General features: G+C 39.0%; 1 protein-coding gene across 1 annotated transcript in view; it reads right to left on the reverse strand.

Moving 5' to 3' along the window:
• Nucleotides 1-15,479, reverse strand: part of TMEM47 (transmembrane protein 47) — a 30,211-nt gene extending 14,732 nt beyond the window's left edge. Inside the window, exon 1 of the mRNA NM_031442.4 lies at nt 14,998-15,479. Coding sequence (NP_113630.1) covers nt 14,998-15,223 — 226 coding nt within the window. The 5' untranslated portion in view covers nt 15,224-15,479. The remainder of the gene's footprint in view (nt 1-14,997) is intronic.
• Between the last annotated feature and the right edge of the window lie 179 nt (nt 15,480-15,658).

Below are 15,658 nucleotides of genomic sequence, written 5' to 3' on the forward strand. Positions count from 1 at the left end.
AAAGCAGCCACAGACAATGTGTAAACAAGCTGGCTGTGCCCCAATAAAACTTATTTATTTATTTTTTTGAGACAGAGTCTCACTCTGTCATCCAGGCTGGAGTGCAGTGGCACGATCTTGGCTCACTGCAACCTCCGTCTCCCGGGTTCAAGTGATTCTCATGCCTCAGCCTCTCGAGTAGCAGGGATTACAGGCATGTGCCACCACGCCCAGTTAATTTTTGTATTTTTAGTAGAGACTGGGTTTCACCATGTTGGCCAGGCTGGTCTCAAACTCCTGACTTCAAGTGATCCACCCGCCTCGGCCTCCCAAAGTGCTGGGATTACAGGCGTGAGCCACTGCACCCAGCCCCAATAAAACTTAATCTACAAAAACAGGTGGTGAGTTGGTTTGGACTCCATGGCTGAGCTGCTGTTTGCTAACCATTATACTTTATTTAGCATTTCAAATGTTGAACTTTTTTCTAGGCAAAGATCTTTTAAACTACAAAACACACAATGAAGTTAATTTAATAAATGAATAATACAGGAGTGCAAAGTGATGCTTAACCAATATAGCGAGAGAAAATTCCAAAAAATTCCTAATCGCATATTGCTACATTTCCTCAATATAGCAATTCTTCATTTCATTTGAAAAACCAGTAAAATGCTATAGTAGAAAGCACCAGGAGAATAAAAGTAAAAGGGACTAGAACCTAATTAGAAAAAGAACCTCCTATAGCACAGGAAATACTTCTAAAAAGTAGATAAACATAATCAGTTCTGGATTTTCTTCTAAATGTCCTATGTTTATTTTCAGCACTGAGGTTGTGGCTAATGACAAAGTTACCCTAGATGTAAAGTCAACAAGGAGAATCATCAGCATTACCACTGTTGTGATATTTCTACCTTTCCTTTGGTCCACAACCAGAGATATGACTGCTCAAACAGAAAAGCTATTTTATTTTCCAAAAGAAACTAGAAATGGGCCATGACTGCCACTGTTCTGGCCAAAACCTGGGGCTTAGACTGGATTATTGAGACTATATCCCTGGCGAATGGTGCCAAGTTTTAGAATTGTTGTCATTATATCCATTTGGAATGATTCACTCAGGCCAGTTGCCCAGCACCAAAACTTTAAATTGCTGATCAGTTTAACCTCGATCAGGAAGCTGAAAAAGTGGTTCGATATGGCTATCATAGTCAAGGAGGTCTGAGGTGCATTTCAAGGTTCAGTGTGGGTACTTTGGAGCTGCAAACAGGGCCTGTGGCATCATATCTCTTTCAGTAAACAACTAGAATCCATTGTCCAAATAATAGTGCCAGCCTAAGAGGTGAACTAAAATCAAGGACTATGTAAATCAGCCAGTTACCATTTCCCTCTCTCTTACTGAACAAGACTAAGATATGGGGAGTAAAAAAAAGTGAAAAATATTTTATAGACACCTACTAATGGCTATTAAAATAATAGGCTGGGCTTTACATTGACACAGTTAGACAGATATTTACTTACCATCCGAAGTCCAATACTAGATTTAGCAAGAACATATACATAAGACTTGGACAATTTTATAGTAATATTATAAGAGACCAGAAAACTTGTTCTACCCTGACTTTTCCACCAAAAGATTTGCATGCCACAAATACCTGCTAACCTACACTCAGTGTTTGCAAAACAAATTAAAATTTCATAAAATTCTCTGTTTCCAGCACCATTTCTTCAAAAAAGTCATGCATTTTAAGTTTTCACAATCAGTTAATTTCTATATCAATTTTAGTTGTCCAATTATAGCCTTCACAGTATTTAGTCAGATGAGTTAAGAGTCTGTAAAGATTTATTACTCTGCATTAGTTTTCTACCTTTCTATAAATAATATACCAATACTATAGTGGAACAGTAAACACAAACCAGACCTGCAGAACATCAATGAACATGGTACTGTTTTACAAATTGCAGTGCTCTGCACAATTAAAATGGGCCATTGTTCAATGTCACGCCAGCTGATTGGAAACCTGAGTTTGGTTTCTGAGACCACAGAGAACAGGTGATAATCAGTTTTGAGGAAATAACATACATCCTTGGTTGATAAATTGGTGAGGGCTCGAATGGGATGGGAGGCATGTTTTGGATCTGAAAACCAAACCTGAAATCAGGCTGCCATGTTACGTGTCAGGTTCTCTCAAAAGAATTTTGGCAAAATTGACACAGTGACACACTGGGGGCATTCAAACTGCACCGAAAGAAGTGGAGGCTCAAGATAAGTGTATGCTTCTCTACTAGTGTTTTCTATAACAGGAAAAAAAAAGTAAAAAGAAAAAAAAACTCCAGGAAAATACATACACATAATGTTATATTCCCCTTGCAGTTACAAGATAAAAATCGGGCAGTCCCTATACTACACCATCAAGTTTAACATTAACATGCAACTCAGGAACTGATTTCAAGTCCTCTTTCAAGGTATTTTTATTAGCTGGCATCAGAGTTTCCAATGTCTATAAACAGTTTAGTATTCTGCAGAATTGTGCTGACTTATTTTAGCATTGTAACATATGAGACTGGCCTGAAATCGCCACTGCATTATGAAAATTCTATGGACCACATTATAACTGTCCAATTGGAGAATTATCATTCCCTTAGGGAATTCATGATCAAAAGTCACTTCCAATTTTCAGAAAAGACAAAATTTTAACAAGGATACATTTTCGATATTTTTGAGCCAAGGGCAATGCACAAAACCAGTTCCTAAAGCTTTCTGCCTCCACTCACCTCATTTAGAAACCTTTCACTTGTCAAACACTGGCTAATTTATTTACCTCTGTAGCTACTGGTTATATGCTGAGATTCTTTCTACTATATGTAAATCCCTGAGCACATAATGCCTATTTCCTTTAGAAAATTAGATATAATTAAAAAGCAATGGAAAAACAAGTTTTTAACCTCATAAACAGAAGTCCTACTGTTTAGGTGGGTAGTATTCCCCTCAATGTATTCCGTTGTTTTTATGGATGATTCTCGCTTTTCTATCATTCTCATCACAAATTAAAACACTGATTTTTAAATCACACTCACATTTGTCAGACTGGCACTTGTATTTTCATTTTTGAACCCCTCCAAAAGGAAATTATATTAACTAAAATGATATCTATAACTGCAATAAAATAATTCACCAGACAACTTAGAACAATGATTTTTTTACCTATCATCTTGAATTACAAGTTATATACAAATTCTTCCTAATTCACCCAAACAGACTGGATTATTTTCACTCATTCCCAGCAAACATTCAGCTTTTCTAAACACTTGTATTCATTTGTAGGACATATTTATAGCAAAACATTTAAATTACATTGTTGAGAACATAGTTAAGTTAGTATTGCCAATCCCATTCTATCATCAGGAACCGGAAATAGTAGGATGGTTTAGTACTAAAGGAAAAAAGAAAGCTCAGATACAGAAGAATATTTCAAACTCACATTCCCTAAATTATCCATCTATTCACCAAAGACTATGTCTTTTTCCCAACTAGCTCACTTTGTCAGAAATTATGGCATTTAATTATTTTCACGAAATGTAACTAAAGAATTTATCTTAATATTAATGCTACGCATTTCTGAGTTTGGATAGGAAGCCTGTATCCTCATACACAAAGAATGGAATGCTATTTTGTGTAGAACCATAAACTTAGCCTAACTACTTCTAAAGGTATCAAATGATCTACTTAACTTTTAAAAGTTAGTCTGCATGTGCTAATGAGGTGGAAAACTGAAACGTTACTGAGGCAGCTTAAATCTTGGTTTATTGGCTAAGTTGCATTCTGACCTAAATTTGTCAATACTGCATTAATTTTCCACCACTCTGTGATGTAGACACAAAGAAAGGCAGCCAAATGAATTCTGATTCTAATTTCAATAATTAAAATGACCACTTCTTTTATTAAAACTGGTATCAAAACTATAATTTTTCACTTGCAAAGAAATATTTCTTTGTATATGAGGATACTGCCTTTCCATCCAATTTAAGGCAAGTAATTATTTGTATTTTATAAAATTACAATATAAATACTATGTGTGTTGTGACAAACAAAGCAAAATAGATGTTTGCCAAAGCAACTATGTTAGATATCCATAGTAGTAATCAGGTTGGCAACAATTTGATTTCGAATACTACCCTTTAGGCCCGTTCACAGATAAAGACTGCCTCCAAAGTATAGTGCTAACCTGATTTTAAACTACAGACATAAATGACTCCAGGTAACCATCCAAACAGATGATACAATAACCCTAACGACCAAAATGCGTGTTAATTTTGCCAAATTTTGGAAAATCCCGGTTGTCCAAAATGCCAGATGGGTTACTAGTGTTTAACAATGTCAATTTCATTCAAGATCTTGGAGTTGTTTTATGTTGATGTTAGAAAAAAAAACACACATACTTTTTATTTTCAACAAATAATGGAACATTTTAGCTGCTTCACAGAATTCTGTCTTAGATAATTCAGTGGAAATGTAATTAATAATCTAAACACAATAACATATGGTGTTTTTTCCTCAAATAAAACCACTTGAATACAGTATTTAGCAAAGAGCCTTGCTGTTAAGGCAAGTTCCAGTATTTGGACAAAAAGAAAGACACTATCACCCCTAATGACTGCTGTTTCTTACCATGCACCATCTTTGAAAGTTTTCATAAGCATTTGATGGTAACTAGTGTTACCTAACAAGTACTGGTATTTTTCAATAATAATTTCTAATCATGGTATTTCTACAAAGTTGTGATGACTTTGGTATTTTGAACATTGTTCTTTTTTCACTCTTTGAATAAAAACCTAATTAGGTTACAACTTGGAAAACTTGATTATTTTGAAAAGCACAAAGAAAACCTACTACTCCAGGATTAGGAGTGGGTGAAACTTCCTCTAAGCAACTAAAGTTACTGTAATGGGTTTAGGGGAGCTAAGAATAATCAAAGAGTAGAATGAAGAAAGCCAGACAGCCACCCACGATAGTATTAAGATACCCCTTTAGTAAATATGGAGGAATAAAATTGGCAAAGCTAGTACTCCCACCAGCTCCTTCTTAATGCCCCGCTGCAGAAGTAGAACCTTTGTTTTCTCCTTCACAGCACTTTGCACATTTATTTAATTATTAATAATTTGTTTAAAAGACACCATTTGTTTCACCCATCATTTTATTCTCACTACCTTCCACGATGCCTGGAACACAGACTAACTGGCTGACTTTGTATCAGAATAATGTCTACCCTCTGCTAGAAAACCAATGACTACGTTTCAATGAAGTTAACTCATTGAGTATATGTGAGAAGATGGGAAAATAGAGGGAAGCATTCGAATGTACCCCCCTTTAAGTTACCTAGAGGAGCTAAGAATAGATTCTAGGCTTCATTCACAGAGCATCATGACAGCATTCTGGTGAATATTTGGTTTAGGGACCTTAAACATGATGGCAATAAAATCTTCTTTGATGAAAATTTTAGTTCTTTTGTGTCTGTCCCTTTTTATGTACAGAGAATAAGTAATTCAGGGGTCTCGACTTCTATTTTTTTAACATGGTTTTGCCTAATAAACAGAAATTTTGAACAGAAAGTATAAATATGTGATCTCTTGAAACATGGCTCATTAAAATATCATTTTAAACCTCATAACAGTCAACAAGCTGATAGAGACAAAGGTGTTATAGATATTTTTTCTCACTTCTTTGGAAGACCATGGATGTTTCGTTGTACATTTTTTAAGTGAGAGTCTTCAGTGTCCATGATTAGAATAGAAAATTGATGATCTACAAGTGTACCCAAATCACACACAAACTTAGGAGTAAAAACATTAAGGAAAGGTGTCCTTGTCTAATTTTCAAGGGAGGTGAACCAATAGTTTGAAAAGATTAGTAAAATTGAAATGTCAGTGCCTTTAATGTGTGAGGTTGAAATTCTGCTGAAAGAACATTCAATCTTTTTGGATAAATTAATACATACTTTTAATAAAGCCAGAATGCAATTAAGTTGTTGAATGAAAATTAATATTCATTTAATCAATTTAAGAAACATACATGGTTGACTTCTACAAAATTTGGAAATTCTTTTTCAACTTAAAATTAAGCTATTGTTAGCCAAGCTGAGAGCCAAATCAGGAAGGCAATCCCATTTGCAATTGCCACACAAAAAAAATAAAATATCTAGGAATGCAGCCAACCAGGGAGGAGAAAGATCTACAGGGATAATTATAAAACACTGCTCAAAGAAAGCACAGAAGACATAAACAAATGGGAAAACATTCCATGCTCATGGATAGGAAGAATCAATAGCATTAACATGGCCATACTGCCCAAAGGAATTTACAGATTCAATGCTATTCCTATCTGGCATTCTTCACAGAACTAGAAAACCTATTTTCAAATTCATATGGAACCAAAAAAAGAGCCCGAATAGCAAAGGCAATCCTAAACAAAAAGAACAAAGTTGGTCGCATCACATTACCTGACTTCAAACTATACAACAGGGCTACAGTAACTAAAAGAGCATGGTACTAGTAGTACAAAAACAGGCATATAGACCAATGGAACAGAATAGAGAGCCCAGAAATAAGGCTGCACACTTATAACCATGTGATCTTTGACAAAATTGAGAAAAACAAGCAATGGAGAAAAGACTCCCTGTTCAACAAATGATGCTGGGATAACTGGTTAGGCATATACAGAAGATTGACCCCTTTCTTACACTACATACAAAATCAATTCAAGGTGGGTTAAAGATTTAAATGTAAAACCCAAAACCATAAACTATAAACTACGTTGTCAACCCTATAAGACAAGGTAGGCAATACCATCCTGGACATAGGAACGGGCAAAGATTTCATAACAAAGTCACCAAAAGCAATTGCAACAAAATCAATAATTGAAAAATTGGATAAATTAAAGTTAAGAGCTTCTGCACAGCAAATGAAACTATCAACAGAGTACACAACCTACAGAATGAGACAAAATATTTGCAAGCTATTCATCTGACAAAGATCTAATAGCCAGCATCCATAAAGAACTTAAATGAATTTACAAGAGAAAAATAAACAACCCCATTAAGAACGGGCAAATGACATGAACAGACGCTTTTCAAAAGAAGACATACATGTGTCCAACAAGCATATGCATAAAAAGCTCAATATCACTGATCATTAGAGAAATTCAAATCAAAACCACAATGAGATACCATCTCACACCAGTCAGAATGGCTTCTATTAAAAAGTCAAAAAATAACAGATGCTGGTAAGGTTTTGGAGAAAAGGGAACACTTATACACAGTTATTGGGAGTGTATATTAGTTTAACCATTGTGGAAAGCAGTACAGTATGGTGATTTCTCAAAGACCTAAAAAAAGAACTACCATTCAACCCAGCAATCCCATTACTAGGTATATACCAAAAGAACAGAAATTGTTCTACCATAAAGACACATGCAGGAGAATGTTCTTTGCAGCACAACTCACAATAGCAGACTTGGAATCAATTTAAATGTCCATCGATGACAGATGGGATGAAGAAAGTGTAGCGCATATACACCATGGAATACTATGCAGCCAGAAAAAAAACCGAGGTCATGCATATTGTGGGAACATGGAAGGAGCTGGAGGCTATTATCCTTAGCACACTAACGCAGGAACAGAAAACCAAATACAGCATGTTCTCACTTATAAGTGGGAGCTAAATCATGAGAACTCGTGAACACAAAGAAGGGAATAACAGACACTGGGGTCTACTTGAGGGTTGAGGGTGGGAGGAGGGAGAGGATCAGGAAAAATAATAACTATTGGGTACTAGGCTTAATACCTGTGTGATGAAATAATCTGTAGAAGAAACCCCGGTGACATGAGTTTACCTATATAATAAACATGCACATGTACCCCGAACCTAAAATAAAAGTTAAAAAAAAAATTAAGCTTTTTCAAATTTATTTTGATACGGAGTCTTGCCCTGCTGCCCAGGCTGGAGTGCAGTGGCACGATCTCGGCTCACTGCAACCTCTGCCTCCCGGGTTCAAGCGATTCTCCTGCCTCAGCCTCCCGAGTAGCTGGGACTACAGGAGCCCGCAACCACGTCCAGCCAATTTTTTGTATTTTTAGTAGAGACAGGGTTTCACCATGTTGGTCAGGCTGTCCTCGAACTCCTGACCTCATGATTCACCCACCTCGGCCTCCTAAAGTGCTGAGATTACAGGCGTGAGCCACCACGCCTGGCCCCCAAGCCATTATTTTAACGTACCCCATCATGGAGAAACTTAAAGTAGAAGTGTTTATTTTTAAGCACTAGTCATGGTTAAAATGTAAATTTGATGGTAATAAACATCTGAAATGTACTTATCAACACATATAATTCTATTTTCAGACTTTAATTCTATGTGAAATCAAATCATGGATGATAAATAATCTTACAAAAAGTGGGCAGCTATTTCACATGCAGTCCTTCACCTCTTCATCCAAGCTTCCATACATGACATCATTCAACAATACTTCAAACACCAAGTGACAGTTATCTACAATATTACAGAACATTTTAAAAACCAACCCTCCAAAAATACTATGGCAAAATGTACCCTCTCTATTGAGTGTTTAACATTGTATCCTTCTTCATTTTCCTTAATCATGTAATAAATTTGATTAGACTGGATTATGTTAAAAATCTTGTCTATTTTATTAAACACGTTACAACTCTGAGATTCAATACATGGGCAGTAGTTAAGAGAAGAGCTATGTTATTAAAACAAAGGAAAAGGAAACAAACAAAAAATAACTCTAACTCCAACACTTCTCTAGCACTATAAAACTTGGCTCCTGTCTGGAATTTTAATGTTTTAGTGTTCATGTAGCAAGCGTATCATCAGATGCATTCATAACTTTCTAAAAAAAGAATAAAATTTTATCATACAACATAAAGTAGCAAATTACATTCCAGATTCATAATCAGTTTGAGCCTTGGTTGTTTGAGACTAAACCAAAGATTTTGGAAGGTTTTACATGTATCTCTCTGTTTGTGGAAAAGTTAGGTTCTCGAGTTCATTCCATCTCATATCCAAAGTACAAGTAACCAGTCATTAAAGCCATATGCTGGCTGAGGGAAGGTTTTGTCCCAGTCAGACATTATTTATATAATCAATTCAAAGTTCTTAAGTACAGAAGCTACAAAGCAAAGACAAACTGGTTGGCCGTTTGTTGTTGTTGTTGTTGTTCTTCAAAGGCAATAAAGAATGCAGATTTGCAGTTAGACTCAGTGTCAGACTGTGTGCTCCAAACACGGCCCAACAGCAACTCCTATCCCACATTCTCTTCTACAATGTGAACTTGCCACTGCTCCATCAAAAGGTGGTATTCAATTCTCCTTCCCTTAAATCCAAGCTGGCCATATGGCTCCTTTGTAACCAACTGAATGTGGTAGAAGACATGTGTGATTTCTCAGCCTAGTTCAGAGAGATTCTGGCTCTTATGACTCTTGTCCTGCGGGACCCACTCAATTTGTAAGAATTCCAATATCCTAAGACCACAATGCTAGAAAGGCCACCTGTAGGCATTCCAGGGAGAGTCACAGCTTTGCCCAGTATCTCACAGCCTTCCCCACCAAGGTGCCAAACCTGTGAGCGAAATCATTTGGAAAATGACCCTACAGTTCCAGACGTTCTGGTTCCTAGCCATTCAAGTTATCTTCCACAAGGGCTCCAGACATCCATCCTCATTATGTCCTATCTGAATTCCTGACCCACAGAATTCATGAGTATAATAAAATGGTTATTTTACACGACTAACTTTTGTTGTGGTTAGTTTCCCAGCATTAGCAACTGGAATACTCTTGGTAAGAATCCATCTTTACCACTAGTTAATTGAGACCTTGGTAATCTTAACAAAAATCCAAAGTTTCCTCAATAATATATAGGGATAACTTTAGCTACCTTGCAAGTTTATTGTGACATTGGGAATAACTGAGGTGTCTGGCTTGTAATAGGACTGAATAAAAGGATAATAGTTTTGTGATCATGATCTACCAAGAGCATTGTTAAATGTTAGGTAATGCATATCAAAATTTAAATTTGAAATTGACAAAGTACTTCATTATGCAATTCATTATGCAATGCAGAGATTTTACTACTTAAAGGGGAAAAATCTTCAATTATTGAAAAAAGTATCACTGGGATTTTCTGAATACGTAACCAGGAAGAAACATAACACTAACAAACAGGCACTTTCATATATTTAATCTTTATGATAAACCATTTGAGGACATTAAGTTGTATGAGGTCACATGATTGGTAAGTGGCCAAGTTCAGGTCAGTTAGAATCCAATGTCTCATTTATTCTCCAACATACTACTCTACTCTGATACAGAATTACATTACAATTTAGCATAGCTCACATGGAAGTTTGTTGTGGTATTTATTTATTTATTCGGTTAGTTATTTTGGGGTAGCCCTCAGAACCAGAAGTGGTTCAGAGAGCTCCCTGCTGTGGTATTTAGGTTAGGTATTCCAGAGACACATTTTGAAGCATCTATATTCCTTTCACTAGCATGTCTAGTAGCACTGACTATATCTATGGTCTCTGCAAGTGGTCTTACTATTAAACAAAAACTTGCAGGAAATTTCTTGAAATGTATTCCCGACAGCAAGTAAAATCTATTGCTTGAGATATTCTTTTGTTTGTTTTTGTTTTGTTTTGAAATGTTTTACGAAAGGCCAGGCTTTTCCCACACCCATCAAATCCCTTAGCTGCCAAGACTGATCTAAGTGGCTCCCTGGGAATTATAATCCTTCTATGAATGTGAGCAAAAGAGAAATTATATCTGTTCACACATTAAAATGTCCTTTGTAAAAGTAAATCTAAGGAACCTGAAAATCTAAAAGACATTAAGAGAAAGTCATCAGGAAGATCTTGAAATAAGTTATACTTGGTTTTCTCTGGCTTATCAGTGGAGAAAGTTTTGGTGCTCTCTGGTACTCTTAACTGTCCACCCGTCTATGATGTCTAGGTTAAACAAAACTGCATTTATTCTTCTTATGTTCTTTTCAAGGAAGCCAGAAGTGGGTATAACAATAGTGACTTCCAGGCTTGCGGAGCTATTTGTAAAAATGCATCAATATCAACACATTTCAAGCAACAAGCTGAACCTTCCCCGGAGCAAATCACATTGTGAGGTTTCCTAATGAAACTGTGTTTTCGAATTAAGGAATAAATGCAAAATATGAACAGATGAAACATGTTTGAACTCAGAATCACTATATCTCAGATTTGCTAAGACGTGCAGGTGGTTAGGCAGTTCCATTTATCTTTAACACCTAAGATAGGCTTTCTTATAAATTCCTTTTAAAGTAGCTTTTTATACTAAAGTTAAAAAAAGATCTACATATAAAGCACTCTAAAAAGAATTTCTTGTCAATTAGAAATGATAATATTCACCTGTTATTAGCATATGGTATACTGCCATTTCAAAACTACCAATGACTCACGTTACAAATGCAGCTATTTTTAGGATAGTATGTGAATGATGTTAACAATATCCCTTGAAAAAAGGTACTATTTGATCAAGTATTTTGGGATAAAAAAAGGAAAAATGAATTTGTTATATCCCTAAATTACTGTTAGTAAAAGTGTTCATTTGGCCATCTGTATGTCCTTGCTTTCTCCTTAGTCAACAAATTACACAGACACCAAAAAGCAATCTGCTTTACATGAAATAGCTATGTATTTATACATTTTAAAGAAGAAATGTAAAGTCTCCTTAGAGGTTATAGAGCACATTTGATATCAAATTTAGGGCATCAGCATTCTGTATACACTTGTGCCAATCCTATTTACACTAAGGATTCTTGTAATTGCTGTGAAATCCTAGCAACTATATCCTAGAAATAAAGTTAGCAAACTAAATGTGACTAAGCAGAAGTCTAAAATATTACTATAATTTGTGTAAGATTTAAGGTTTATTAAAAGGTTCCCCAAAACAGTACTGGGGAAAACTACCCTTAGAAAGAATTCTGTGGCCGGCAGCCATGTGAGTACTGCGTATTCTAAACTTCCTAACAAGCACACTTTATTTTTTTTTTCTCTTTCCACCATTAATCACAGTCAATTAGCCGCTTTCTCATATGTCTTTCTGGAACACTTAGAACTTAAGATGAGTGCCTCAACTGTCCTCCATACATTGAATTGGAACACCAGAGAAAAGCATTACGGCTGACTGACAACCGGATTAGTGGTTCGTACTAGAAGAGCTGACGCAACCTTCAATACACCAGAACACAAGAGGCATGGTTCTACTTTTGCTTAAAATCATAAAACAGGTTATAAACAGCAAATGATGCACATTTGGTACCAAAATTAAAATGCAAGTTTAAAAATAATGGCTTAGGGGAAAGTTTCAGTAGAAACTGGGTCTAAGTAGGGCATACTATTGTGAGTAGAAACATTCCTGAAATGCTCCTTCAGTAAATACAGGCCTGCCTCTTCACAGCAGTTTTAATTCTAATTAAGACAAACATTTTTAATTAAGCCTTAAAGATCCTGGTGAAGGGCCTTCAGTAAAAGTGTCCTTGGTGGTTCCTCCCAAGGTAATTTATTTTGAAAGACAAAGATGTGGATCTCTCAAAATCTTCAGAGAAGACATTTCCCTCCCTGTTTTCTGCTACTCCACACAGCAAACAGACGAAAAAAGCTGCTTGCCCTTTGGAACAGACAAGAAAAGCACTGCTGGTTTTGATTCGGGCATTCCCCTTCCTTTCAAAACACTGGCGGACAGAAGCTTCAAATTCACATAACATAAGAAAGTACATTTTGTAAAGTGGGGACACAGAGCAATTTTCCATATCTTGTTTCCTTTCCTCCACCCCCGCCCTGTGTCCCACCATCACCGTGGAGAGCAAAAAATGAACTGCTATTATATATACACAAAGTCAAGAACTTGTTCCAGAAAACCTCTAACAAAATCATCTCTACTTTTTACCCATTTGCTTATGAATTCTACTTTATCTGGGCTGAAAACTATTTTTTTAAGGCAAGATAAGATGAAAGCTGATTTTCAGAAATCCAAATAGAAATATACGCTGGGCTATGACTTTCAGCAAGGGGGTAGAATAAACAGGGAAAAATCCCAAACTGGGCCTGCCTTTGATTTTTACTTTGCAGAGTGCTATTACCGCTATATTTGCATTAGGCTTGCGTCTCCATATTTCCTTGACTAGAGAGGAAAAAAGCTGAGATAAATGGGTATGGAGGCAATTAAGAAAAGGTTAGCAAACACTGTATGTTGCTCTGCAAACTCGAGCTGGCTTCTCCCCATTCCCTACATTCCTGGCCAAGAAAAAAGGGTACTGGCTTGAAAAGCAAATGTGAGTTGAAACTGGTTTCTCTAACCTATCTGAAAAGTCTTTATGCAATCAGGGGTCTATTATTTCAGGAGACAGAGAGAAAGGGGCAAAACATTCACGTTGCCAAGGAGTCGTGCAGTAGCTGTCATTCCTACATAAATTTTATTATTGAAGAGGGGAAAGGAGATATTTTCGCCAAAGTTTATTTGGATCCCCTGGTTACCGAAGAAAGAAATTCTGCCGATTTATTTTATCTTTAGTTGTAAACTGCCAACCCTGAAAGAATTGAAGGACCTAAATGTTGACCTCCTGCTGCCAACCAGTTCCCTCCACAGTGAATTAACCAACAAAGAGGAAACCCTTCAATGGGAATTTTGAGGTAGTATCAAAGAAAAAGCCTTTTTTAAACACAAAATTAAATTTACAGAAGAAACTTGGTCAAATTTTCCTGTGTTATAACAGGAAACCAAAGACAAAAGAAAATCAGATTTTTGTGGCTTTTTGTGCTATTTCAACTTTGTTACAACTTGAAACGTTTCCAGGAAAGCTTTATAAATAGTCCCAGAGAAGACATGAAACTGGAAGGAATGTAATGAGTTTCTCAGGTGTCTATGTGTGTGTGTGTGAGTCTGTGTATGTGTGTGTGAGAGAGAGAGAGAGAAAGAGAGAGAAAGAAAGAAAATCGCCGGCAGGTCCTCTCTCTTTATTTCCCTTTCTCTTCGCTGACACCAGCAGTTGAAGAATCAAAATTAGAAAGGAAGGGGTTTGTAGCGAGAAATCATAAGTTGACTGATTTTTGCTAAGGGCATAACTGGGGCGCCGGGGAAGGCAACTGGAGGGTCAGGGAGGGCGGAAAGCAGTAAAGCCCCCTGGGACTGGTAGCCTCAGTAGCTACCTTATTCTCCACTCCCCACCCCCATCTTATCCATTTGCAGCTTTCAGCGCTGGCGGAATAAAGCACAACTTTCTAGGCATCTGTGAGTAGCTCATGGAGAAAAGAAAGGTCTGGAGGAGAGAAGAGTTACTTAGAGTGGCAGAGAAAGAAAGGCAACTCACAATCAACGGCGGCGTCACCAAAAAAGGAAAGGAAAACAAGCCTGTCCCTCTCTCAACTCTTCATATCCATCAAAAACGTAAGGAAATAAAATCCAAACCGAAATACATTGGTGAAAACGCAGATAAGGTGGAGTGGAACCGGCAGAAATGTGAACACTAGGCAAATTCGTCCTCGAGAGAGGAAGGAAAAAGAGTGGGGAAGACCGAACAGCGAACCCCCGCAGCATCTCGGTGGAGTTGGGGCGTTTTTGCCTGCTTCTTTTTTAACGGGGGTGTGGAAGGCGTCGCATTTTTTTACACAGCCACATGGCTCTCGCCTCAAATGATAACAAATACCCAAAATAGCGTACGTGTTACTCCAGAACAGGAGGAATGGCCACGGGGAAGGGAGAGGGCGTGGGCTGTCGCTTTAGGTTTGGCGACCAGGGATGGGGAGGGAAGAGGGGTGGATGCCAGGGAGGTGGCGGGAGCCCCAGGATCCGAGAAGGGCCTGGACGGGGTGGGACGGGCCAGGGCAGAGGATGCGGGGACGTGGGGACAGGCGGTGACTGTCCTGGCAGTGGGGCGCGGGGCAGTCCGGGGCGGGAGGCAGGGGTCGCGGCGCGCCAGGCCCTCACCGCTGCTGAGCGTGGACTCGCAGTGCCAGATGTCCAAGCTGGCGGGTTTCCGGCAGGACTCCCACAACGACAGGTAGTACTGGTGGTCAGCTGTGACCCAGGCCGGGCTCAGCACCGCCCCCAGGTCCAGACACAGCGCCAGGAAGATGCACACCAGCCCGACCAGCTTCAAGGGGGTCAGCACCGACACGCGCACCTCCTCCATGCCGCTGCCCGCCGAAGCCATTCCTGGGCGCCGCTGTCGTCCGCCCCGCCGCAGGCGAGGACGCCAGGCGGGTCCGGAGAGCCGGGAGCCGGACCTCCCGAAGGGAGAAGCCGCCGAGCTGCCACGCGCGGGGACTCGCTCCCTCGGGGCTCTGCGCGCCCCCTGCCGCGCGGCCAAGGTGGGTCTGCGGAGGCGGCCGGCCGGGTGTGGGTCGTCGGCAGCCGCAGCGACGTCGATTCCACCCCGGACCTTCGCCGCCGGCCCCGCGCCGCGCTCTGCCAGCGCCCGCGCCCGCTCCTCCCGGCTCGGCCGGGCTCGCTCCGCCCCGGCCCCTCCCCGGGCTGCGGGAGGCGGTGCCGTACGGGGAGGGGCGGAGGGCCAGCACTTGGTGGCTTCGGCTCCAGTTCCCAGTGCCGGAGGCTCGCGCCTGTCCCGCCCCTACCCCGCCTCTGGCCC

This window comes from Homo sapiens, chromosome X (assembly GCF_000001405.40).
Source record: "Homo sapiens chromosome X, GRCh38.p14 Primary Assembly".
In the NCBI taxonomy this organism is placed as follows: domain Eukaryota; kingdom Metazoa; phylum Chordata; class Mammalia; order Primates; family Hominidae; genus Homo; species Homo sapiens.